The 24,555-nt window shown below is 45.2% G+C and overlaps 1 protein-coding gene across 3 annotated transcripts in view, besides 2 other annotated features; it reads left to right on the top strand.

Annotated features, from left to right (window-relative positions):
* The window catches only part of FAM171A1 (family with sequence similarity 171 member A1), a 162,912-nt gene that overhangs the window by 91,490 nt on the left and 46,867 nt on the right, over positions 1-24,555 (top strand). For all 3 annotated transcript variants that reach the window (XM_017015904.2, NM_001010924.2, XM_011519378.3), the window contains exon 3: positions 7,118-7,210. In XM_017015904.2, coding sequence (XP_016871393.1) covers positions 7,118-7,210 — 93 coding nt within the window. The remainder of the gene's footprint in view (positions 1-7,117; positions 7,211-24,555) is intronic.
* Positions 1,913-1,992: an enhancer, noted in NCBI's record as "active region_3094". NCBI's record gives its function as "activates an Ori minimal core promoter by ATAC-STARR-seq in GM12878 lymphoblastoid cells {active_cell/tissue: GM12878}" and the evidence as "EXISTENCE:reporter gene assay evidence [ECO:0000049][PMID:35858748]".
* Positions 14,485-14,985: an enhancer, noted in NCBI's record as "H3K4me1 hESC enhancer chr10:15310079-15310579 (GRCh37/hg19 assembly coordinates)". NCBI's record gives its function as "activates a minimal SCP1, AML or CMV promoter by ChIP-STARR-seq in primed H9 embryonic stem cells {active_cell/tissue: H9 hESC(primed)}" and the evidence as "EXISTENCE:reporter gene assay evidence [ECO:0000049][PMID:30033119]".

Genomic DNA, 24,555 nt, shown 5'->3' with positions numbered 1-24,555 from the left:
CAGTCATTGATTATAAGCTAAGTTTAGGGTATATTTAGTTCAAATTGCTGCTGGGACACCAAGTGAGCATATTCGGCCTTTAGTTTGAAATGAACTTGGGGTTCAAGAGAGAGATCTGGGCTAGAGGTTTAGTTTGGCTTATCAGCAGTGTTAACTATTATCTCCAGCAGAGGGTGGAGGACAGTGGGCCTGAGACAGGACCCCAGGAGAGCCCACACAACAGGACAGGTGGCCTTTACTAAGTTATATCCAAGGGAACATTAGAGTCGAGTCTGCAGTGAGCTGAGATGGTGCCACTGCACTCCAGCCTGGGTGACAGAGGAAGACCCTGTCTCAAAAAATAATAAAATAAATTAAAATAAAGGAAGCATTTGACACTCCCATGGTCCATGCTGAGAAGTCACTGGAAATCACTGAGGGACGTTTAGGCTGTCTCTGCCTGTTTCAGGAGAACAGCTACACAAAGCCCATCAGTCAATTGTCGTTGTTCACAGTAGTTATGGTCCATAGCCACCTCAAACATGGACTGAGCAAATACTGAACCACTGCTACAAGGGAAACGCAGGGCTGAGTTCCTGCAAGCCTCTGGTCACAACATTTTCATGAACCGATCAATAGTACGTGCCTTTGTTTTGTGTTGTCTTTGTTTAAAGAAATCTTATTTGATATATAGATTGTTGATTCATTAACATTGAACTGACAGCCCATAGCACCATAACTCATGCCCGAACAAAGCTGATCGAACACACATGTTTTCTCCATAAGGCACAGTCACAACCTCCTCCTGCTTAGGAACATTAGACAGCACTACACTAGGGGTCATTTGAAACGGTAGAATCATGCCTGTAATCCCAGCGACTCTGGAGGCTGAGGCAAGAGGAGCTGGAACCCAGGATGTGGAGGCTGCAGTGAGCTGGGATGGAGCCACTGCACTCCAGCCGGGATGACACAGCGAGACTCCATCTCTAAAAATAAATAAGTAAATAGCAAAATCACCAACAGAATGCTTAAAGACATGAAAAGCTTGGCCCTGAATACATCTAGGGGTTACAAATAAGCTTTAGCAAGTAGGGAGGTTTACAAATACAGAATTGGTGAATAATGAGCAGCTACTACACTTTGATCACATTCATTTTGACTCTGTTAACATGGTCATTTGAGAAAAACCATTCCCATCATATCTGTTTTTTTATTTTTTTATTTTTGGAGACAGTCTCATTCTGTGGCCAAGGCTAGAATGCAGTGGCGTGATCTTGGCTCACTGCAATCTCCACCTCCCAGGTTCAAGCAATTCTCCTGCTTCAGCCTCCTGAGTAGCTGGGATTACAGGAGCACACCACCACACCTGGTTAATTTTGTATTTTTAATGGAGATGGGGTTTTGCCATGTTGGCCAGGCTGGTCTTGAGCTCCTGACCTCAGGTGATCCACTTGCCTCGGCCTCCCAAAGTTCTGGGATTACAGGCGTGAGCCACTGTGCCCGGCTGATATCTGTACTATTACAAATGAGTCAAGTCATAGGAATAATGAAGTTTAATTGAGTTTTGGACAAGGCATGAAGACACCTGGGTCCCAGGCCTGCCCACCCCTGGCTGGCCCCACACATATCGGCCCATCAGCACTTTCTGAGCTTGTGTTTGTTTCTGAAATCAAGTTAATTAGTCTAAATAATTTCTAAAAATCTTCCCATGTCTGTGATTATTTTTCTGCGCTTTGCCTTTTCAATATAATAAAGATACTCTGTATTAGTCCACTATAAAGAAATAGCTGAGACTGGATAATTTATAAAGAAAAGAAGTGTAACTGGCCCACAGTTCTGGAGGAGATACAGGAGGCATGGCATCTTCTGCTTCTGGGGAAGCCTCAGGAAGCTTCCGATCATGGCAAAAGGCAAAAGGGAAGTGAGACATTTCACATGGCCAGAACAGGAGGAAGAGAGAGAGGGTAGAGGTGCTACACACCTTGAAACAACCAGGTCTCGTGAGAACTCACTCATGATCACAAGAATAGCACCAGGAGATGGTGCTAAACCATTCATGAGAAACTGCCCCCGTGATCCAATCACCTCCCATCAGGCCCTACCTCCAACACTGGGGGTTACAATTCGACGTGAGATTTGGGCAGGGACGCAGATCCAAACCATGTTATGCTCTTAACTAGAACTTAACAGGAAACATCTCCAAAATTTAGACAAAAAAATTTAGCCTATTGTGAAAAGCAGAGTCAATTTGCTTTTGTGCATATTTTTGGAGATGAACACTAACACTTCTGGTATTGCAGATAACTGGGCAAGGAAGTGAGAAGAGCTGGGAGCCTCTTCTAAAATATGTTGAAAATTTGAAACTAAAAAATGCCTTCTTTCCCACACGTGTGCAGCACACTGCTTGTGTGTGCATGAGCATTCTTACGAAACCCAGAAACGGATTTCCTTTTTCATCCTTAACAATAGTTCCTGGAGGATGTGTTGAGGTTTTTTTCACTTTCAAGGAAGGGAGGAGAGGGAGGAACCCAGCATAAGGAAAACACCCTCCACCCGTGGCAGGCAGGTAAGAATAAACTTAGCCATAGGAGATGCAGTCCATCCACTAAAGGCTGTCATTCTACGTCTTAATTATTGCTGTCTCTGCAGCGATCACCCTGGCCCAGGTCCTTAGCGATGGTCCAGGACCATGGCAATGGCCTCCAGTCCAGTTGTTCTACCCCACAGACCACCCACAATATGACTGAGCATTTGTGTATGAAAATATATATGTGCAGTTCATGTATTAAAATATGTACCTGCCTAAAATTCTTCAGTGGCCTCAGGATGAAGTAAACGTGACACGGAGCCTCCTCCCCTGGCCACCTCTCCCTTCCATATCTCATGGTCGGCCGCCCTGGGCAACATGTCATTCTGTGAAGGAGTCTGCCATTTCTACCCTGTCTGTGTTTGTCTGCATTGTTCTCTTGGCAAATTTTTTGGGTTTTTTTCTTCTTTTTGAGATGAAGTCTCACTCTGTCACCCAGGCTGGAGTGCAGTGGTGCAATCTCAGCTCACTACACCCTCCACCTCCAAGGTTCAAGCAATTCTCCTGCCTCAGCATCCCAAGTAGCTGGGATTACAGGTGCACGCCACCACACTCAGCTAATTTGTGGTTTTGTTTTTGTTTTGTTTTGTTTTGTTTTATTTTTCAAGACAGAGTCTCAGTGGTGCAATCTCGGTTCACTGCAACCTCCGTCTCCTGGGTTGAAGCGATTGTCTTGCCTCAGCCTCCCGAGTAGCTGGAACTGCAGGTGCACGCCACCATGCCTGGCTAATTTTTGTATCTTTAGTAGAGATGGGGTTTCACCATGTTGGCCAGGATAATCTTGATCTCTTAACCTTGTGATCCGCCTGCCTTGGACTCCCAAAGTGCTGAGATTACAGACATGAGCCACCAAGCCTGGCCGGCAAACTTCTTTTATCCCATAAAGCCCAGCTGGACTGTTTTCTGCGTCAAAAAATCTTCCTGCCTTTCCTGGGTAGAATGAGATGTTCCTTTCCCTCTAGGTATCAAAAAAAAAAAATCTACTTGGTATGAACAGCACCTCCAGACATCAATCAGCCTCCCCTCTGTGATGGGAAAAAAGCAGCACTACCCACGGATCTCCGTCTCTCTGCTGCCTTCACCCACCTGGGCACTGCTTGATTGCATCCCTAGTCCCTGTCCTCTGCCCCGGGAAGTCCCTGCTGGTGCCAAGCTTGTTACAAGAAATCATGTGTTTTAGAATTCAAAGAAAGGCCTAAAAAAGTAAAACAAGGAATCATTTTTCTCTCCTTTAGGAAATAAAGTTTGAGAAACAATTTGCCAGAGCAGCTGCCTTATATATGAAAGTACCAAATATTTTAGGTGAGAAACATTTTCAAAACACACTGCGATGGTCACACACCTCTCAGGGGATGATCACAGGTGATTTCGGAGCTCCGAGCCCCCCAAACCGGTCAGCTCAGAGGTGGTCAGGGCCTTGTAAATGTCTGCAGTCGCCACGGGAGCTCTGCAATGGAGCAGGAAGACCCAGGCATCCTCGTTTAGGAGGGCATGGAGTGTAACCCTAGCCCGGGTTTTGAGGTGTGCTGCTTCCTACCAGCAGCATCTGCTAGGACAATCCTGCCCATTCCTCCTCGCCAGGAGGTGCCCTGTGCCTTAGGTGAAAGGATCGCTGATAATAGTTTACCTACGAAGTGGTCATGCGGGATTTACCCAAGTTGGGGTTCCTCCCAACAGTGACTAATTGCAGAATGTTTCCTCACCCCCAAAACCCCATACCTATTAGCACCAACTCACTCTTTCCCACACCTCCCAGCCCCTGGCAACCACTAATCTACCCTCTGTCTCTCTAGATTTGCCTATTCTGCACATCCCATAGAACTGGAATCTTGGAATACGTGGCTTTTTGTGTCTGGCGTCTTTCGCTCAGCCTGATGTTTCCAAGATTCATCCACGTTGTAGCACATGTCAGTAGCACCTTCCCTTTCATGAGTGAATAATATTCCCTCATATAGACAATACCACACTTTATCCATTCATCAGCCGATAGACATTTACGTGTGTTGTCTCCGCTTTTCGGCTGTTACGGATAATGCTGCTGCAAACATCGATGTGTGAGTTTCTGTATGAACGTAGGTTTTCGGTTCTCTTGGGTTTATACGTAGGAGTGGAATTGCTGCATCCTGGGGTCACTCTGTGTTTAATATTTGAGGAACTCCCAGGCTGTTTCTGCAGCACCAAGCTGCTATTCTTGTCTTTCTCCTGGTACCTGGCCCATTCTGCGTGTCGTACAGCTACTTGTTTCAAGTCTAGTACCCTTGCAATGCATAACTCTTGAAGGCACAGGCTGCTTCTAACACTGATCTGTTCCACCCAGGGTGTAGATCTGAGCCTCGTATATGATGACAGCTAAATAAATTGACTGTGTGGAGGCTGAGTGAAAAGAGGTCACATCCACGGCCAACTCACTGGTGCCCTATGGCACTAAGAGCCAGCACTGCTTACCCGGGCACGGTGGCTCATGCCTGTAATCCCAGCACTTTGGGAGGCCGAGGAGGGCAGATCACTTGAGGCCAGGAATTTGAGACCAGCCTGGCCAATGTGACGAAACCCCATCACTACTAAAAATACACAATTAGCCAGGCATGGTGATGCACACCTGTAATTCCAGCTACTCAGGAGGCTGTGGCAGGAGGATAGCTTGAACGTGGGAGGCAGAGGCTGGAGTGAGCCAAGATTGCACCACTGCACTCCAGCCTGGGTAGCAAGAGCGAAACTGCATCTCAAAAAAAAAGAGCCAGCACTGTGAAGTGACTGATCTTCTTAGCACTTATCTTCTAGATCCTGATGTTTTCCCAGAATGTCATTTACCTCTCTAGGCCAACTTTTCCATGTCTCATAGTGGTTGAGAACTCCAGAGTTCAAATCGTAGCCCTGGCATTTATTAGCTGTGGGATATTGGGTGAGTTACTTCCTCATCTGTAAACCTGTTTCCTTACCTGTGAAATGGGCATGTTAATAATGCCTACTTCAGATGCCAGGTACGTTGGCTGATGCCTGTAATCCTAGCAGTTTGGGAGGCCAAGGCAGATGGATCACTTGAGGTCAGGAGTTTGAAACCAGCCTGGCCAACATGGTGAAACCCTGTCTCTACTAAAAATATTTTTTAAAACATTAGCTGGGCATGGTGGCAGGTGCCTGTAATCCCAGCTATTCGGGAGGCTGAGGCAGGAGAATCACTTGAACCTGCGAGGCGGAGGTTGCAGTGAGCCAAGATCACGCGATTGCACTCCAGCCTGGGCAACAAGAGTGAAACTCTGTCTCAAAAATAATAATAATAATGCCTAAGTGATAGAGCTGTTTTGAAGCTTAAATAAATTACTAAAATTAAAGCACTTAGAATACTGTTTGTCCTGTTAGTAAAGGTTCAGTAATGTGAGTGATGATTATTATTCTATAATGCATTTATTTGTTTTTCTCTTAAATTCATGTTTTACCCAGAAATTTGTGGGGTTTCTAAAATTTTTTAGAAATCCAGGTACTTAAGCAAGAGTTTGAAAATAGCATAACTTGGCTAGGTGCAGTGGCTCTAGCCTATAATCCCAGGACTTTGGAAGGCAAAGGTGGGAAGGATTGCTTGAGCCCAGGAGTTTGAGAGTAACCTGGGCAACATATGGAGACCCTGTCTCTACAAAAAATTTTGAAAATTAGCTGGGTGCAGTGGTGCACACCCATGGTCCCAACTATTTGAGAGACTAAGGCAGCAGGGATACTTGAGCCTGGGAGGTCGAGGCTACAGTGAGTTCTAACCGTGCCACTGCACTCCAGCCTGAGTGACAGAGTGAGACCGTGTCTCAAAAAAATAAAAATGAAAAGCACAATTTCTATCATGTTATTAGTTCCCAGGATTGGGGGAATATTCTTTTACCATGAGGTACACATTAACCTAGACACGTATTTTTAAAGCCATTCTTAATGTTAACATCTAACATTATGTATTCTACATTCATGTAGTGTATACATGATAACTTTCATATACTCCTAATGTGAAGAGGCTTAGTTACTTTACTGAAAACTTCTGGCTGGGCGCAGTGGCTCACGCCTGTAATCCCAACACTTTGGGAGGCCAAGGCAGGTGGATCACGAAGTCAGGAGTTCGAGACCAGCTTCGCCAACACAGTAAAACCCTGTATCTACCAAAAATGCAAAAATTATCTGGGCATGGTGGCAGGTGCCTGTAATCTCAGCTACTCGGGAGTCTGAGGCAGGAGAATCGCTTGAACCTGGGAGGCGGAGGTTAGAGTGAGCTGAGATTGCGCCACTGCATTCCAGCCTGGTGACAAGCGAGAGTCCGTCTCAGAAAAAAGAAAAAAAAAAGAAAACTTCTAACAAATGAAAAAAGATGACCATTGTAAGGCAAGTAATTGTTATATGAGATACTGCAATACACTTGTAGCATTTTGAAGGTCTTTTGCTAATCTAACTAAAAATTAATTGTATTAATTGATTTGAAATCAGAAAATACAAAAACTGCAGAGTATCCCAAAAATTAGAGTAGGCACTTAAATATGACTATTAAAATCCCCTTCTATCCATTTCTTTTTCCTGCAGTATTTTCCTCTCTGAGCCTTGGCCTGCTTCCAGAACGCTCTGCCACTCTAATGGTATATGAAGATGTCGTCCAAATAGTATCAGGATTCCAAGGTATATTTAATATTTTTTTCAGTTTTTATTGTTATTTTTGATGGATACATTATTGTATACATTTATGGTGTACAATGTGATGTGATGTTTGTATACAAGGTGGATTGATTAAATCAAACACATTAACCCATCATTAACTTGTCTATCACCTCACTTGCCTAACATTTTTTATAGTGAGACATTTGAAATTTACTCTTTTCATTATTTTGGTATGTACAATAATTAAAAAGAGAAACAACAGTCAGTTTTGGGCCACCTACTAAAATCTTATGGCTCATGCCTATAATCCCAGCACTTTGGGAAGCCTAGGTGGGTTGATCATTTGAGGTCAGGGATTGGAGACCAGCCTGGCCAACATGATGAAACCCCATCTCTACTAAAAATACAAAAAAAAAAAATATTTAGCCAGGCATGGTGGCACATGCCTGTAATCCCATCTACTTGGGAGGCTGAGGCAGGAGAATCGCTTAAACCTGGGAGGTGGAGGTTGCAGTAATCCAAGATTGTGCCACTGCACTCCAGCCTGGGTGACAGAGTGAGACTTCATCTCAAAAAAAAAAAAAAAACTTAAATGGAATCCACTTATTATTTTTTAAATTATACATCATACTTTAAGTTCTAGGGTGCATGTGCACAACATGCAGGTTTGTTACATCTGTATACATGTGCCATGTTGGTGTACTGCACCCATTAACTCGTCATTTACATTAGGTATATCTCCTAATGCTATCCCTCCCCACTCCCCCAACCCCACGACAGGCCCCGGTGTGTAATGTTTCCCACCCTGTGTCCAAATGTTCTCATTGTTCATTTCCCACCTATGAGTGAGAACATGTGGTGTTTGGTTTTCTGTCCTTGCGATAGTTTGCTCAGAATGGTGGTTTCCAGCTTCATCCATGTCCCTACAAAGGACATGAACTCATCATTTTTTATGGCTGCATAGTATTCCATGGTGTACATGTGCCACATTTTCTTAATCCAGTCTATCATTGATGGACATTTGGGTTGGTTCCAAGTCTTTGCTATTGTGAATAGTGCTGCAGCACTATTTATTAAATAGGGAATCATTTCCCCATTTCTTGTTTTTGTCAAGTTTGTCAAAGATCAGACGGTTGTAGATGTGTGGTATTATTTCTAAGGGCTCTGTTCTGTTCCATTGGTCTATATGTCTGTTTTGGTACCAGTACCATGCTGTTTTGGTTACTGTAACCTTGTAGTATAGTTTGAAGTCAGGTAGCGTGATGCCTCCAGCTTTGTTCTTTTGGCTTAAGATTGTCTTGGCAATGCAGGCTCTTTTTTGGTTCCATATGAACTTTAAAGTAGTTTTTTCCAATTCTGTGAAGAAAGTCATTGGGAGCTTGATGGGGATGGCACTGAATCTATAAATTACCTTGGGCAGTATGGCCATTTTCACGATATTGATTTTTCCTATCCATGAGCATGGAGTGTTCTTCCATTTGTTTGTGTCCTCTTTTATTTCGTTGAGCAGTGGTTTGTAGTTCTCCCTGAGGAGGTCCTTCACATCCCTTGTAAGTTGGATTCCTAGGTATTTTATTCTCTTTGTAGCAATTGTGAATGGGAGTTCACTCATGATTTGGCTCTCTGTTTGTCTGTTATTGGTGTATAGGAATGCTTGTGATTTTTGCACATTGATTTTGTGTCCTGAGACTTTACTGAAGTTGCTTATCAGCTTAAGGAGATTTTGGGCTGAGACGATGGGGTTTTCTAAGTATACAATCATGTCATCTGCAAACAGGGACAATTTGACTTCCTTTTTTCCTAATTGAATACCCTTTATTTCTTTCTCCTGCCTGATTGCCCTGGCCAGAACTTCCAACACTATGTTGAACAGGAGTGGTGAGAGAGGGCATCCCTGTCTTATGCCAGTTTTCAAAGGGAGTGCTTCCAGTTTTTGCCCGTTCACTGTGATATTCGCTGTGGATTTGTCATAAATAGCTCTTATTATTTTGAGATACATCCCATCAATACCTAGTTTATTGAGAGTTTTTAGCATGAAGGGCTGTTGAATTTTGTCAAAGGCCTTTTCTGCATCTGTTGAGATAATCATGTGGTTTTTGTCTTTGGTTCTGTTTATGTGATGGATTACATTTATTGATTTGCGTATGTTGAACCAGTCTTGCATCCCAGAGATGAAGCCAACTTGATCATGGTGGATAAGCTATTTGATGTGCTGCTGGATTCGGTTTGCCAGTATTTTATTGAGGATTTTTGCATTGATATTGGTCTAAAATTCTCTTTTTTGTTGTTGTTGTGTCTCTGCCAGGCTTTGGCATCAGGATGATGCTGGCCTCATAAAATGAGTTAGGGAAGATTCCCTCTTTTTCTATTGATTGGAATAGTTTTACAAGGAATGGTACCAGCTCCTCTTTGTAGCTCTTGTAGAATTCGTCTGTGAATTCGTCTGGTCCTGGACTTTCTTTGGTTGGTAGGCTGTTAATTATTGCCTCAGTTTCAGAGCCTGTTATTTGTCTATTCAGGGATTCAACTTCTTCGTGGTTTAGTCTTGAGATGGTGTGTGTGTCCAGGAATTTATCCGTTTCTTCTAGATTTTCTAGTTTATTTGCATAGAGCTGTTTATAGTATTCTCTGATGGTAGTTTGTATTTCTGTGGAATTGGCGGTGATACCTCCTTTATCATTTTTTATTGCTTCTATTTGATTCTTCTCTCTTTTCTTCTTTATTAGTCTTGCTAGTGGTCTATCAATTTTGTTGATCTTTTCAAAAAACCAGCTCCTGGATTCATTGATTTTTTGAAGGGTTTTTTGTGTCTCTATCTCCTTCAGTTCTGCTCTGATCTTAGTTATTTCTTGCCTTCTGCTAGCTTTTGAATTTGTTTGCTCTTGCTTCTCTAGTTCTTTTAATTGTGATGTTAGGGTGTCAATTTTAGATCTTTCCTGTTTTCTCTTGTGGACTTTTAGTGCTATAAATTTCTCTCTACACATTGCTTTAAATGTGTCCCAGAGATTCTGATATGTTGTGTCTTTGTTCTCATTGGTTTCAAAGAAATCTTTATTTCTGCCTTCATTTCGTTATGTACCCAGTAGTCATTCAGGAGCAGGTTGTTGAGATTCCATGTAGTTGAGCAGTTTTGAGTGAGTTTCTTAATCCTGAGTTCTAGTTTGATTGCACTGTGGTCTGAGAGACAATTTGTTATAATTTCTGTTCTTTTACATTTGCTGAGGAGTGTTTTACTCCCAACTATGTGGTCAATTTTGGAATAAGTGTGATGTGATGCTGAGAAGAATGTATATTCTGTTGATTTGGGGTGGAGAGTTCTCTAGATGTCTATTAGGTCTGCTTGGTGCAGAGCTGAGTTCAAGTCCTGGATATCCTTTTTAACTTTCTGTCTCGTTGATCTGTCTAATGTTGACAGTGGGGTGTTAAAGTCTCCCAATATTATTGTGTGGGAGTCTAAGACTCTTTGTAAGTCTCTAAGGCTTGCTTTATGAATCTGGATGCTCCTGTGTTGGGTGCATATATATTTAGGACAGTTAGCTCTTCTTGTTGAATTGATCCCTTTACCATTATGTAATGGCCTTCTTTGTCTCTTTTGATCTTTGTTGGTTTAAAGTCTGTTTTATCAGAGACTAGGATTGCAACCCCTGCTTTTTTTGTTTGTTTGTTTTCTGTTTGCTTGGTAGATCTTCCTCCATCCCTTTATTTTGAGCCTATGTGTGTCTCTGCACATGAGATGGGTCTCCTGAATACAGCACACTGATGGGTCTTGACTGTTTATCCAATGTGCCTGTCTGTGTCTTTTAATTGGAGCATTTATCCCATTTACATTTAAGGTTAATATTCTTATGTGTGAATTTGATCCTGTCATTATGATGTTAGCTGGTTATTTTGCTCATTAGTTGATGCAGTTTCTTCCTAGCATCAGTGGTCTTTAGAATTTGGCATGTTTTTGCAGTGGCTGGTTACTGGTTGTTCCTTTCCATGTTTAGTGCTTCCTTCAGGAGCTCTTGTAAGGCAGGCCTGATGGTGACAAAATCTCTCAGCATTTGCTTGTCTGTAAAGGATTTTATTTCTCCTTCACTTATGAAGCTTAGTTTGGCTGGATATGAAATTCTGGGTTGAAAATTCTTTTCTTTAAGAATGTTGAATATTGGCCCCCACTCTGTCTTCTGGCTTGTAAAGTTTCTGCCGAGAGACCTGCTGTTAGTCTGATGGGCTTCCCTTTGTGGGTAATCCGACCTTTGTCTCTGGCTGCCCTTAACATTTTTTCCTTCATTTCAACTTTGGTGAATCTGACAATTATGTGTCTTGGAGTTGCTCTTCTCGAGGAGTATCTTTGTGGCATTCTGTTTTTCCTGAATTTGAATGTTGGCCTGCCTTGCTAGGTTGGGGAAGTTCTCCTGTATAATATCCTGCAGAGTGTTTTCCAACTTGGTTCCATTCTCCCCGTCGCTTTCAGGTACACCAATCAGACGTAAATTTGGTCTTTTCACATAGTCCCATATTTCTTGGAGGCTTTGTTCATTTCTTTTTACTTTATTTCTCTAAACTTCTCTTCTCGCTTTATTTCATTCATTTGATCTTCAGTCGCTGATACCCTTTCTTCTACTTGATTGAATCTGCTACTGAAGCTTGTGCATGTGTCACGTAGTTCTTGTGCCATGGTTTTCAGCTCCATCAGGTCATTTAAGGTCTTCTCTACGCTGTTTATTCTAGTTAGCCATTTGTCTAATCTTTTTTCAAGGTTTTTAGCTTCTTTGCAATGGGTTCGAACATCTTCCTTTAGCTCAGAGAAGTTTGTTATTACCGATCGTCTGAAGCATTCTTCTGTCAGCTCATCAAAGTCATTCTCTGTCCAGCTTTGTTCCATTGCTGGCGAGGAGCTGCATTCCTTTTGAGGAGAATAGGCGCTCTGATTTTTAGAATTTTCAGCTTTTCTGCTCTGGTTTCTCCCCATCTTTGTGGTTTTATCTACCTTTGGTCTTTGATGATGGTGACGTACAGATGGGGTTTTGGTGTGGATGTCCTTTCTGTTTGTTAGTTTTCCTTCTAACAGTCAGGACCCTCAGCTGCAGGTCTGTTGGAGTTTGCTAAAGGTCCACTACAGACTCTGTTTGCCTGGGTATCACCAGCGGAGGCTGCAGAACAGCAAATATTGCAGAACAGCAAATGTTGCTGCCTGATCCTTCCTCTGGAAGCTTTGTCTCAAAGGGGCACCCAGCCGTATGAGGTGTCAGTCGGCCCCTACTGGGAGGTGTCTCCCAGTTAGGCTACTCGGGGGTCAGGGACCTACTTGAGAGGGCAGTCTGTCCGTTCTCAGATCTCAAACTCTGTGCTGGAGAACCACTACTCTGTTCAGAGCTGTCAAACAGGGACGTTTAAGTCTGCAGAAGTTTCTGCTGCCTTTCGTTCAGCTATGCCCTGCCCCCAGAGGTGGAGTCTACAGAGGCAGGCAGGCCTCCTTGAGCTGTGGTGAGCTCCACCCAGTTCGAGCTTCCCAGCCATTTTGTTTGGCTACTCAAGCCTCAGCAATGGCAGATGCTCCTCCCCCAGCCTTGCTACCACCTTGCAGTTCAATCTCAGACTGCTGTGCTAGCAGTGAGCGAGGCTCCATGGGCGTGGGACCCTCTGAGCCAGGCACAGGATATAATCTCCTGGTGTGCCGTTTGCTAAGACTGTTAGAAAAGTGCAGTATTAGGGTGGGAGTGTCCCGATTTTCCAGGTACCATCTGTCACAGCTTCCCTTGGCTAGGAAAGGGAATTCCCCGACCCGTTGCGCTTCCTAGGTGAGGCGATGCTCCGCCATGCTCCGTGGGCTGCACCTACTGTCCGACAAGCCCCAGTGAGATGAACCTGGTACCTCAGTTGGAAATGCAGAAATCACCCGTCTTCTGCATCGCTCACCTTGGGAGCTGTAGACTGGAGCTGTTCCTATTCGGCCATCTTGGAACCTGATCTGGAATCCACTTATTGTTGGATGGTGATAGCAGTGAATTTATCCACAGCTGGGACATAGCATCTATTTTCCCTGTGAGGCACACCACATTTGAATTTGATTAAACTATCAGTTCACTGTAAGTGTGTGAGAGAAAAGGAGGGGCTGTCCCACTCTGTGTGCCACCATCCCTTTCCTCTCCAATGGAGAGCATGTTCATCTTGTTTGGGCCACAGTCCAGGGCACTGCCTCTGCCTCACTTACAAGTGGACAGGGTCACTCCTAAAGACTAATAAGCAGGCCAGTGTGGCTTTATCCTCTCTCTTGCCCTCTTATTTTTTCAACCTGTCTCACAGGTTGTGATGTCTGTAAACATGATCTTGCCCCTCCTGCTCTCACAGAAAAGCTCACAAAGAAGGTTTGAGGGACTGTGCTTTCCTTGATATGGGGTTAGAATTGACAATGCTTGTGTAAAATGCATTTCTGTGCTAAGAGCATACTATTCCATCTAAATCATGGCCTGGCCAGGCACAATGGCTCACACCTGTAATCCCAGCACTTTGGGAGGCCAAGGCAGGAGGATCACTTGAGACCAGGCATTCAAGATCAGCCAGGGCAGTTAAGCAAGACTCCATCTCTACTAAAAATAAAAATGAAAAAAAATCTGTGTATGCTACTGCACGCCTGTAGTCCCAGCTACTCAGGAGACTGAGACAGGAGGATTACTTGAGCCCAGGAGGTCGAGGCTGCAGTGAACCGTGATCGTATCACTGCACTCCAGCCTGAGGGACAGAGTAAGTCCCTGTCTCAAAAAAGTGAATAAATAAATAAATAAAAAATCATGGGCCTGAGAATCATGTTTCCTGGCTTTGTTTGTTTGTTTGTTTGTTTGTTTGTTTGTTTGAGACAGAGTCTCTGTTGCCCAGGCTGGAGTGCAGTGGCGTGATCTTGGCTCACTGCAATATCCGCCTCCCAGGTCCAAGTGATTTTCATGCATCAGCCTCCCCAGTAGCTGGGATTACAGGCAAGCACCACCACACCTGGCTGATTTTTGTATTTTTAGTAGAGATGGGGTTTCACTATGTTGGCCAGGCTTGTCTCAAACTCCTGACCTCAGGTGATGCATCCACCTCGGCCTCCCAAAGTGTTGGGATTACAGGCACCATGCCTGGCCCAACTTTCTTTCTTTCTATCTCTTGGTCCCTTCTTCTTGGGAGGCTCCAGTGCCTGTGCTGGGCCCACATTTCTTCTTTCTGGTCCTAAACATCTCATCTAGGCCTCTGGCTTCCAATGCTCTAATTACTCCTGATTCCGTCTCTCCAGCCCAGACCCTCCCCACTGAAATGGGGCCTTGGATGACGCCTCTGCTTGGAGGCCTGTCAGGCACCTCCAACTCAGTATGGACACATAGAGCTTGATATTTTTGGCCTTCCCGTGATCAATGGTATAAACGTCTACCTAAGTTGATACCACTATAAACTCAGGCCAAAACTCGAGGAATTGTCCTTGATTCTTCTCTCCTCGAATCTCATTCTTTTGATGAGGTTGGTGTCTCCATCTGCATTGCCACCTCACAAATCCAGGATACCACCATGTCCCCTCAGGCACTGCAGTAGGTTTTTAACGGGTTATCCCATTTCACTCTTGCCAAACCAGTAATCAAGTGTTTACAAAGTGAGGGTGACCAAATCACCTTGCTTGGATCTTCAATGGTTTTCCCATTGTACTTGGAATAAAATCCAACCCCTTCCACTCAGGGCTGGACAATCCCCTGGCCCTGGGCCTCTGGTGGCTTCTGTGGTTGTCCAGGTCCTCCCTGGTAAGGAAGGGACGAGGCTACAGCATTTATACACACAGGGCTTCCCACACAGCCGGCTGCCTGCACCCCTTCTTCTGCCAGACGTGGCTTTTAGGCCCACGTGCTCACTGTCGGCCTCTTGTCTTCTCCTTCACAGCCACCTTCAACATCCACTGTCCCCACCTTTCCCTTTACTAAGATGCTGAAGGAGGCAATGTGTGGTTTTACTGTCCCTCACTCTTGGGGAGCAGCACTGTGAGGTGTTTGTGGTAAAAGCTTGAACTGCAGGGTCTGCAGTGACACCACACTTCGTCCGTCGTGGCTGTCCAGCCTCCTCACCGCTCCGTGTTCTGCTCCTCATGGCCACCCTGCTGGCCCTGACAGCTGGACACTTCACTGTCTCCTCTCAAGTCTCTACAGGGTTCCTCCAGGACCCAGCACCTGAGTGGGGTGCCCCCTGCAGTCTCCTTCTGCCTAAGCAGCAGTCACACACAACCTTCTTCTCCCCTTCTTTTTTTTTTTTTTTTTTTTTTTTTTTTTTGCGATGGTGTCTCGCTCTGTTGCCAGGCTGGAGTACAGTGGCGCGATCTCGGCTCATTGCAACCTCTGCCTCCTGGGTTCAAGTGATTCTCCTGCCTTAGCCTGCTGAGTAGCTGGGACTACACACACGTGCCACTGCACCCAGCTAATTTTGGTATTTTTAGTAGAGACGTGGTTTCACCATGTTGGCCAGGATGGCCTCAATCTACTGACCTCGTGATCTGCCCCCCTCAGCTTCCCAAAGTGCTGGGATTACAGGCATGAGCCACCGCACCTGGCCTCTTCTCCCCTTCTTATATCTCCATGAGTGGAATATGGCTGCAGCGAGCCTGATGTCACAGTCATCGGTTCTGTGCCCATGCACGCTGGCATTCCTTCCCCCTGCCCATGCGTGCCCACAGCATTGCCATGCCCATGCCCTGACACAGGCCCTGTTGATCTCTACCAAGACCACTGCAGTAGCCCCCCTGTGGGGTACACGTCTTTAGCCTTTGACTTAGGATTGGAGCCAGATTTCGGAAGGAGAAGCTAGACTTTCTAACTCGAGTCTCTGCTCTCCAACACACCGTGCGCTAAACTGCCCGTTGGGTCTACCTGAGGTGGAGCTCCAGTTCTTTCTGTCCCTTCCTGGCTCGCCTTGGCCTACAGAGTAAAATCCATTCTGCCAACTCACACTCCCTGGCCTCCGGGATATGGCCTCAACTTTTCTCTCTCTCTTTTTTTTTTTTTTTTTTTTGAAACAGTCTCACTCTGTCACCCAGGCTGAACTGCAGTGGTGCAATCACAGCTCACTGCAGCCTTGACCTCCCAGACTCAAGCAATCCTTTCACCTCAGCCTCCTGAGTAGCTGTTACCACAGGCACATACCACAATGCCCAAATGATTTATTTTTATTTTTAGTAGAGACGGGGGTCTCGCTATGTTGCCCAAGCTGGTCTCGAACTCCTGACCTCAAGTGATCCGCCCACCTCAGCCTTCCACAGTGCTGGGGTTACAGGTGTGAGCCACCATGCCTGGCCTCACCTCCCTTCTGAGTGTTTTTCTTTTTGCTGTGTTCTGGTCTACCTCAGTTTCTGTTTTCCACCTGGGGCTTTCCACCTCCTCTGCCAATCTGTCTGGAAACCCTTCCTGGACAGGAAGGGCAGCCTGGATGCCACATGGTTGGAAGGTCTTTCCTGAACATCCACTGGAGATGAGAGTCACACCGCCTGCCCCTGGCAGCCGAGGGGCTTGTGTCCTGTGGCCCTATCCCTCCCAGCCATGGCTGTTGGATCTGGAGTGGGCACCCAGCTTGGGGGTAACCAGTCCATAGTGTGGCCGCAGGTGGGACCCAGCAGCTCTCGTCCCCTTTCTTTTCCTGGGATTGAACTAAGAACCCAGCAGGGGTTGAGAATAGCGGCTGAATGGTCCTGAGATGCAGGCTGAGCTGTGCCAGGCCTTCTGTGAGCCAGGTAGAAGAACAGAAAGGATGCAGAAGCAGAAGAAGACACTCGGAGCAGGTCAGAAAGGAGCAGACGGCGTCCGTGGGTCCCACTCATGGCCCAGTGTTACAGGGAAACCCACTCACTCCTGCCAAGTGGCCTGAGAGCTGCCTGAGCCCAGAGCTGGTCGTTCTACCTCTTGTGCCTTCTACCACCTCTGGCTCCTGTTCTTGGAGCCACAGGTCCTCACCTCCCTTATTGTCCCTCACGTCCTTATCAGTAACCAAATGCAGCAGATTAAACAACCCACCAGCTGGGAGTTCTGGATCTTTCCATGATACCCCCCTTTCCTACCATATTTGGGAGTACACCTTATCTAACTGACTAAAGGTGAAAACCAGAAGGCCAAGAACTGTGTCTTCATCATCTCGGTCCTGCCAGGTCTGTGCCCTATGCCTGCCAATGGTAGACACCCAATGAGTAATTCATTGAATAATTGAGTTAAACAAATACAAAAAAAAAAATCAAAATCCAGCTGCTTTTTGTACTTCCTACATAGACTACTTACTCCATGGTCTTTTTTTTTTTTTTTTTTTTTTTTTTCAGAGGCACCATCTCAGCTCATTGTTGCCTCAACTTCCCAGGCTTAGGTGATTTTCCCATCTCAGCCTCCTGAGTAGTTGGGACTATAGGCATGCACCACTAAGTCTGGCCAATTTTTTTGTATTTTTTGTAGAGATGGAGTTTCACCATGTTGCCCAGGCTCGTCTCAAACTCCTGCGCTCAAAGATCCTCCTACCCTGGACTCCAAAAGTACTGGGATTACAGGCATAGGCAGCCACACCCAACCCACTTATTTTCTTTGTTCTGAAAGCTAAGAAAAGTACAGTACAGTACACACACAAACACACACGCACACACACACACACGCACACACACGAGTACTTGAGCAGCTCTTTCTCTCTCTGAGGAGCAAGAAGCATGAGCATATTATAAATCGGCCCGAGGAGTAAGACATTCAGGTAGTTTTCATTATAGTTAATTTTATCACTGCTTCCTGTACATAACCAGAAACTGGCTGCACCTTTTTATAATCTCATTTCCATGCCAGCTTTTTAAAATTACAAAATTTTGTTAATGTTTAAATGTGCCCTGCTTCCTGAGCTTAATCATGTTTAATTGTATGATTCCTTGTCTCGGTCGTATTGAGGCATGGCAATGATAATAATGGATCATTTTGTTTCCTGTTTTCCCACTAGTTGGAAGAAAGCCATATGTAGCTAAATAAAGGTGGTCCTTACTACCATGTAGATAAATAAATGGTAGTCTTTACTACCATGTAGATAAATAAATAGTGGTCTTTACTACTATTTGCTTAATACAGTTTATTTATTTTTTTTAAGAGACAGGGTCCCACTGTCACCCAGCTGGAATGCAGTGACTGGATCTCAGCTCACTGCACCCTCTGCCTCCCCAGCTCAAGTGATCCTCCCACCTTAGCCTCCCAAGTGGCTGGGACTACAGTATACACCACCACACCTGGCTAATTTTTTTTTTTTTGTAGAAACAGGGTTTCACCATGTTGCCCAGGTTAGTCTCAAGTTCCTAGGCTCAAGCTATCTGCCCACCTTGCCCTCCCAAAGTGCTGAGATGCCCGATGTATTTGTATTGTCTACAAAACTAATACAATACTGAATTTATAAATGACATATTAAAATTATGTTCTCAAACTGGTCACATTTAGTTGCATTTTTTTTTAATTGATTCAGGAGAAAAAAATAAATTCTTGCCTGCTCAGACATGCAAGCCACTATGCCCGGCCAGTTTTGTTGCGTTTTAAAAGTGAGGAAAGTAATGGTGTAACATGTTATTTTCGACACTGTTTTATAAAGAAAGCCTGGGCCAGGCACAGTGGCTCACACCTGTAATCCCAGCGCTTTAGGAGGCCAAGGTCAAGGCACTTTGGTAAGATCACTTGAGCCCAGGAGTTCAAGCCAGACTGGGCAACATAGCAAGACCCGAAAAATATTTAAAAATTAGCCAGGTGTGGTGTTGTGTGCCTACAGTCCCAGCTACTCTGGAGGCTGAAGTGGGAGAATCTCTTGAGCCCAGGAGTTCAAGGTTGCAGTGAGCCATGATTGTGCCAGTGTACCCCAGCCTGGGCAACAGAGCAAGACTCTGTCTCAAATAAATAGGTAGTTTTGTTGGTAGGTAGGTAGGTAGATGGATGGTTGGATGGATGGATGGACGGACGGACGGACGGAAGGATGGACGGATAGATAGATAGATAGATAGATAGATAGATAGATAGATAGATAGATAGATAGATAGATGAGATAAATGTATAGATAGATGATAGATTAGATAGATGATTAATAGATTAGATGGATAGATGATAGATAGATAGATAGATAGATAGATAGATAGATAGATAGATAGACAGACAGATAGATAGATAGATTGATAGGATAGATGGATAGATGATTGATAGATGCATAGATAGATAGGCAAGCAGCCAGCCAGGACTGTCTTAGGATAACAGGATGGTGAGGGGAAGGGTCAGAAGACTCACACGTATTCTCTGCAGTGTTAGGTGATGCCTCAGTAATTGGTCAACAAGAGGGATATTCCCCCACGTAGACTATATCTGAAAATGCGCTCAGTGTCACAAAACGCTGGCAAATTGTTTCCAAACTTGTCTGTGAGATGATAAGAGTATGGAAAGAGAGAACACTCGTAAATTATACGAATCATTTTCTTGGAGAGTGTTTTGTCCTTTGCTGAAGATCACATTTCCATCAAAATCTTGTGGGGAGGGGTTTGGTAGTAAATCCATAAATTAAATCCCAGATTATTTCTGGTAAGGGATGAATGGGGAGGCTGGCATTGTATGAATGCCGGAGATGAGACTGGGGGAGCCAGCCTGCAGCTCTGGCTCCCGGAGCCTCTAGGAGGCCCTCACGCTGTCTCAGAAACAACGACTCAGAGTGTGATGAGAGTAAATAAGAAGATACAGACAAGATGCCCCCAGCTGCCCATGGGCACTGTCATCGGGCCGACTGGCACCACCCAGGTCAGTGGTCTCCATCCTCTGCTTGGCTCCTCATGTTTCCCAGATGGTCCTTTTCCTGTTCCCCGGGCAGCTGCTGTGGGAAGCTTTTCCCAGCACACTCCATATGCCCCTCGCCCCACCTGCATGCCGTCCTCCCAGGAGGGCCCTGGTGGCTGGTTTCACAGGGAAAGCAGGCCGTCAGGGAAGCACGCCTTCCCGAGTGGTCTTCCTCCTGCCGCCTTTCCGAAGAGGACATGGCAGTGTCCTCCTGCAGCTTCTCTGCCCCACCATGAACCCCTTCACATTCTCATTGGAGCCCATTTGTTATCACCTCCTCTCACACCTCCCTGGATTTATGCTGAGCCTTTCATCTCTTCTAGTTCTTTCTCAGCTCTCAAAATCACTGAAGGCTTTGCCATTCAAAGCAAAACTCTTCTTAAGCCCTATTTCTCCTTCAAGTCACAATCTTCTCCCGAACCTTGGAGATACCTCCCCTTGCCAGGCACATGTCTTTAAACTCCCTTTTGTGCTGCCTCACACGATTCCTTAGAAATCCCTCTTGCTGAGCTCAGCAGAGCTACAGTTACGTGACCTAGTGGCCACTTCTTCCTAACTTCCCCGCAGCTTCACCACCCTACCCGGTTCTGCCTTCCTGGATGTCTTCATCCTTTCTCTGGCCCTCTCTCTGTTCATTGCTTCTCAATCTCCTTCATGGGTTCTTCCTGCTCTGCCTATCTCTTATTTCAAAAATAGCTTTCCACTCCAGCTGCCTTTTCTGTGAGGACCCCCAGAGCTGCTGTCTTTATTTGGAACTTTATCATTTCTCACTTGAATAATTTCATAGCAGCCTCCTGCCTGATCGCTCTGACATCAGACTCTGCACCCATGGCCATACTCCACCTGCTGTCAGAATTGGGCAAAAACAAATCGGAATCTTTCACTTCCCTACCGGTAACTCCCACACGCTCTCCCCTGCAGGCCCACACAAATCCAAACTCATTGATTGATTGATTCATTGGCAGGGTCTTACTCTGTTGCATGGACTGGAGTGCAGTAGTGCAATCATAACTCACCGTAGCCTCAGACTCCCAGGCTCAAATGATTCTCTTGCCTGTGTCTCTGGAGTAGCTCAGACTTCAGGCATGCGCCACCACACCCATCTAATTTTTCAGATTTTTTGTAGAGATGGGGTCTATGTTGCCCAGGCTATTCTCAGACTCCTGGCCTCAAGCGTTCCTCCTGCCTCAGCCTCCTAAAGCACTGGGATGACAAGGATGAGCCACCACACCCGGCCCCAAACTCTTGATTGGGACTTACCAAGTCCTTCCTAAGTCTCTCCCTCTGCCCCTGGACCCCACGTAGCTCACAGAGAGTTCCTTCACTTCCCCACACATGGTAGATTTTCTTTATCTGTGCCCCTTCATAGATGCTGTTACTTCTCCTCTGCCTCTCAACCTTCAAGACACAGTTCACAAATACCAGCCCGGGAACTGCTTTTCTCCTGGACAGCTGGCCACTCTCTCTCTTGAAGTTTATCTTGTACTTTCATCATTACCCTCTTATTCTAGCACTTAAAACACTATGATAATCAAGCCGTTTCCATGACTGCCTTCTCGACCCTTTTCTGTATTAGAGTAATGAATGTTATTGATGTTTTAGGGAGTTAAACATGTAAGAAAAGAAGGATGATGTGATAAACTCATCAAGAGGTGATGAAAGCTCTAAGAAGAGATTTCCTTGACTCTGATTCAGGGCAGAAGAGAAAGTACCATTATCCCCAAGATTACTGGCTCAATTCTTCACTGATCCATTTAAGGAGGCTAAATGGCATCTCAGAAAAGAGCCCCAGGGCAGAAAACAGAAAACCTCTGCAACCCTCCGGCTTTAGTTTTCCTTCAGGTGGCAACCCTTGGTTTTGTTTAAACTTCATCTTCTGAAATTGACTCGGAAATCTTCATCCCACCCTCCAAAAGGTTACTATTGGCATTCTTTTTAAGCTTCTTTGTTCATATGATAGTTCGGGAGAGGAACAGAGATTCAGATAGAGAGACAGCGGAAGACACAGAAAGAGACAAAGAGAGAAATGCCTTCTCCTCTCTTGAGTTCCGTGAATACAAACACTTTCCCTACTCCTCTTTGCAGTCGTAGACCCGTTGCAGGGAGATTCTCAGTGCCAGTTGTCTGGATTTTGTGAAGGTGCTCAGGGTATATAGTGCAGTGGTTCAGAATTGGGGGTGACTTTGCCCCCCCTCCCCAGAGACATTTAGTGAGGTCTGGAGAAATTTTGGGGGCTGCTACAGACATCTAGTGGGTAGAGGTCAGGGGTGCTATTAAACATGCTGCAATGCATGGGACACCCCCAAACAAAGAACTACCTGGCCCAAAATGTAAATGGTGCTGAAATGGAGGACCCCTGATCTAGTTGGAATGGAGACAGAGCATTACTGGAACATAGTGAGTTGCCAGGTTTAACTCATCTTCACATAAGTACCATTGAGCACCAACTGTATACAGAACATAGTGCCATGCATTTCACAGAACGCCTGGTTTAAGGAGCTTCAGTCTATAATGGGAAGAGGAAATGGGAAAGCAGTGCTTATCCAGGAGACACTGTTGGACACCATCCATATGTGTTCTGAACCAACATCACAACAGCCATATTATGAGACAGGCATGATTCATACCCATTTTAAAGATAACCTGAAGCCCAAATCACTCAACTATAAGGTGGTAGAGGAAAGATTTAAACCTGGAGCTAAGTGATTCCACCACCCATGTTCTCATGATGCTCTTGATTAGGCAGATGAACAAATATACAAATAATTATGATACAGGACATAGTAAGAGCAGTGCTACAAGAGAGATGCAAATAGAGCTTAGAGCTTAGGGTGGGATTAACAGACTACATAGAAGAGGTGGCTTTTGACATGCATTTTGGGTGAGCTGTAGGATGAGGGGAAGAAGTTTCAGACATGGAGATGCATGAATGTATATACACAGAGAGGCCAGGCGTGGTGGTTCACACCTGTAACCCCAGCACTTTGGAAGGTTGTGGAGGGCAGATGACTTGAGCCCAGGAGTTTGAGACCAGACTGGGCAACATGGCGAAACCTCATCTCTACAAAAAAATATAAAAATTAGCCAGGTGTTGTGGCATGTGCCTGTAGTCCCAGCTACCCAGTAGGCTGAGGTGGGAAGATCACTTGAGCCCAGGAGGTCAAGGCTGCAGTGAACTGTGATGGCATCATTGTACTCCAGCCTGGGTGACAGAGCAAGTGAAGACCCTGTCTCAAAAAAAAAAAGGAAAGAAACAATCAGACTTAGTCATGCAGTCCTATTTGGCCAGAGGATGAGAACTGGTTGGCAGTCAGCAGGGCATCTATTTTGAGGTAGGCATGGTGTGATAGGAAAGGATACAGAGTTAGAATTAAAATAATTCCTTTCTACCTCTTACAAGCAGAATGACTTTGGGCAAGTCACTTACCTCTTTGAGCTGTAGTTCATCATCCATAAAGAGGAAAGGGTTCCTTCTTCACAGGGTTGTTGTAAATATTAAATAACATATTTTTATTTATGCACTTTGTAAATTCTAAAGCACTGATCTATGCCTCTCATTTAGAGAAGAGGTGCAGTTGTAGTCTGGGTCTATATTGGTCTATTCATTTTTGTTGTTTTTTTTGTCATCATTGTTAATTTGGTAAGTGGGAGAGATCCGTTGATGGTTTCTGGGCAGGGAAAGGACATGATTAGAGTAGTATCTTTGAACAGTCACAGTGTCAGTAGATGAAAAGGGAGTGAGGCTGAAGCAGATGGCCCAGATAGGAGGCTTTCACAATAGTTGAGGTGAGAGGCAGTATAAGGTAACATACGCTGTTGGATGCAAAAAGGGAGAGAAATATGGTGCAAGAAATTTGTTAAGGGAAGATTGGCCAGTCTTGGCACTTGAGTGAATGCCAAGGATGATAGATAGGGAGAATGATGGCACTTGAGGATGATAGATAGGGAGAATGATGATGGTGACCTAGAATCAAAACTGGGTGTTGGGGAGACTGGAATATTGTTAGGTGAAAGAGAAGGTAGATGATGATTTTAGAGTGACAGATGGGCATCTGGGTAGAAGTGTCTAGAAGGCAAGGGAAAATCCAGGCATGGAGCTTAGAAAAGAATCCAATGCTGGAGTGGATGGTACCAGCCAAGGCAGTGGCAGTGAAAGGGAACCCACAGGGAGCGAGCAGAGCACAGAAATGGCACAGGCGATGGGTGGTAGCCCTCTGGGAGCTGTTTCATCCAGAGGTAGGACAAGAAAGGAAGGACTTGCAAAGGAAACAGCAGGCAGACACTGGAGAGAACCAGAGTGCAGGACCATGAATCCCAAGGAGGAAGGGGATTGTGGGCAGGAGGGGCAAACAGTGTCAACCATTGTGAAGAGGTCGACGAGGATGGAGGCTGAGCTGTGGTCATGGGGTTTGCGGATCACACAGTCGACGTCTCCAAGGGCAGCATGCATTGTGGGTAGAAGCCACATCACTGGAGCTTGGTGGAAGGACAGAAGGCATTCGCTTATGGGGATAACAGAGTTAGAGTAATGTTTGCTTGTTATTGTTCTAGACTGGGGAAAAA

Source organism: Homo sapiens, chromosome 10 (assembly GCF_000001405.40).
Source record: "Homo sapiens chromosome 10, GRCh38.p14 Primary Assembly".
Lineage (NCBI taxonomy): Eukaryota > Metazoa > Chordata > Mammalia > Primates > Hominidae > Homo > Homo sapiens.
Note: the sequence above shows the minus strand (reverse complement) of the source record. Positions and strands in the feature narration are given on the sequence as shown.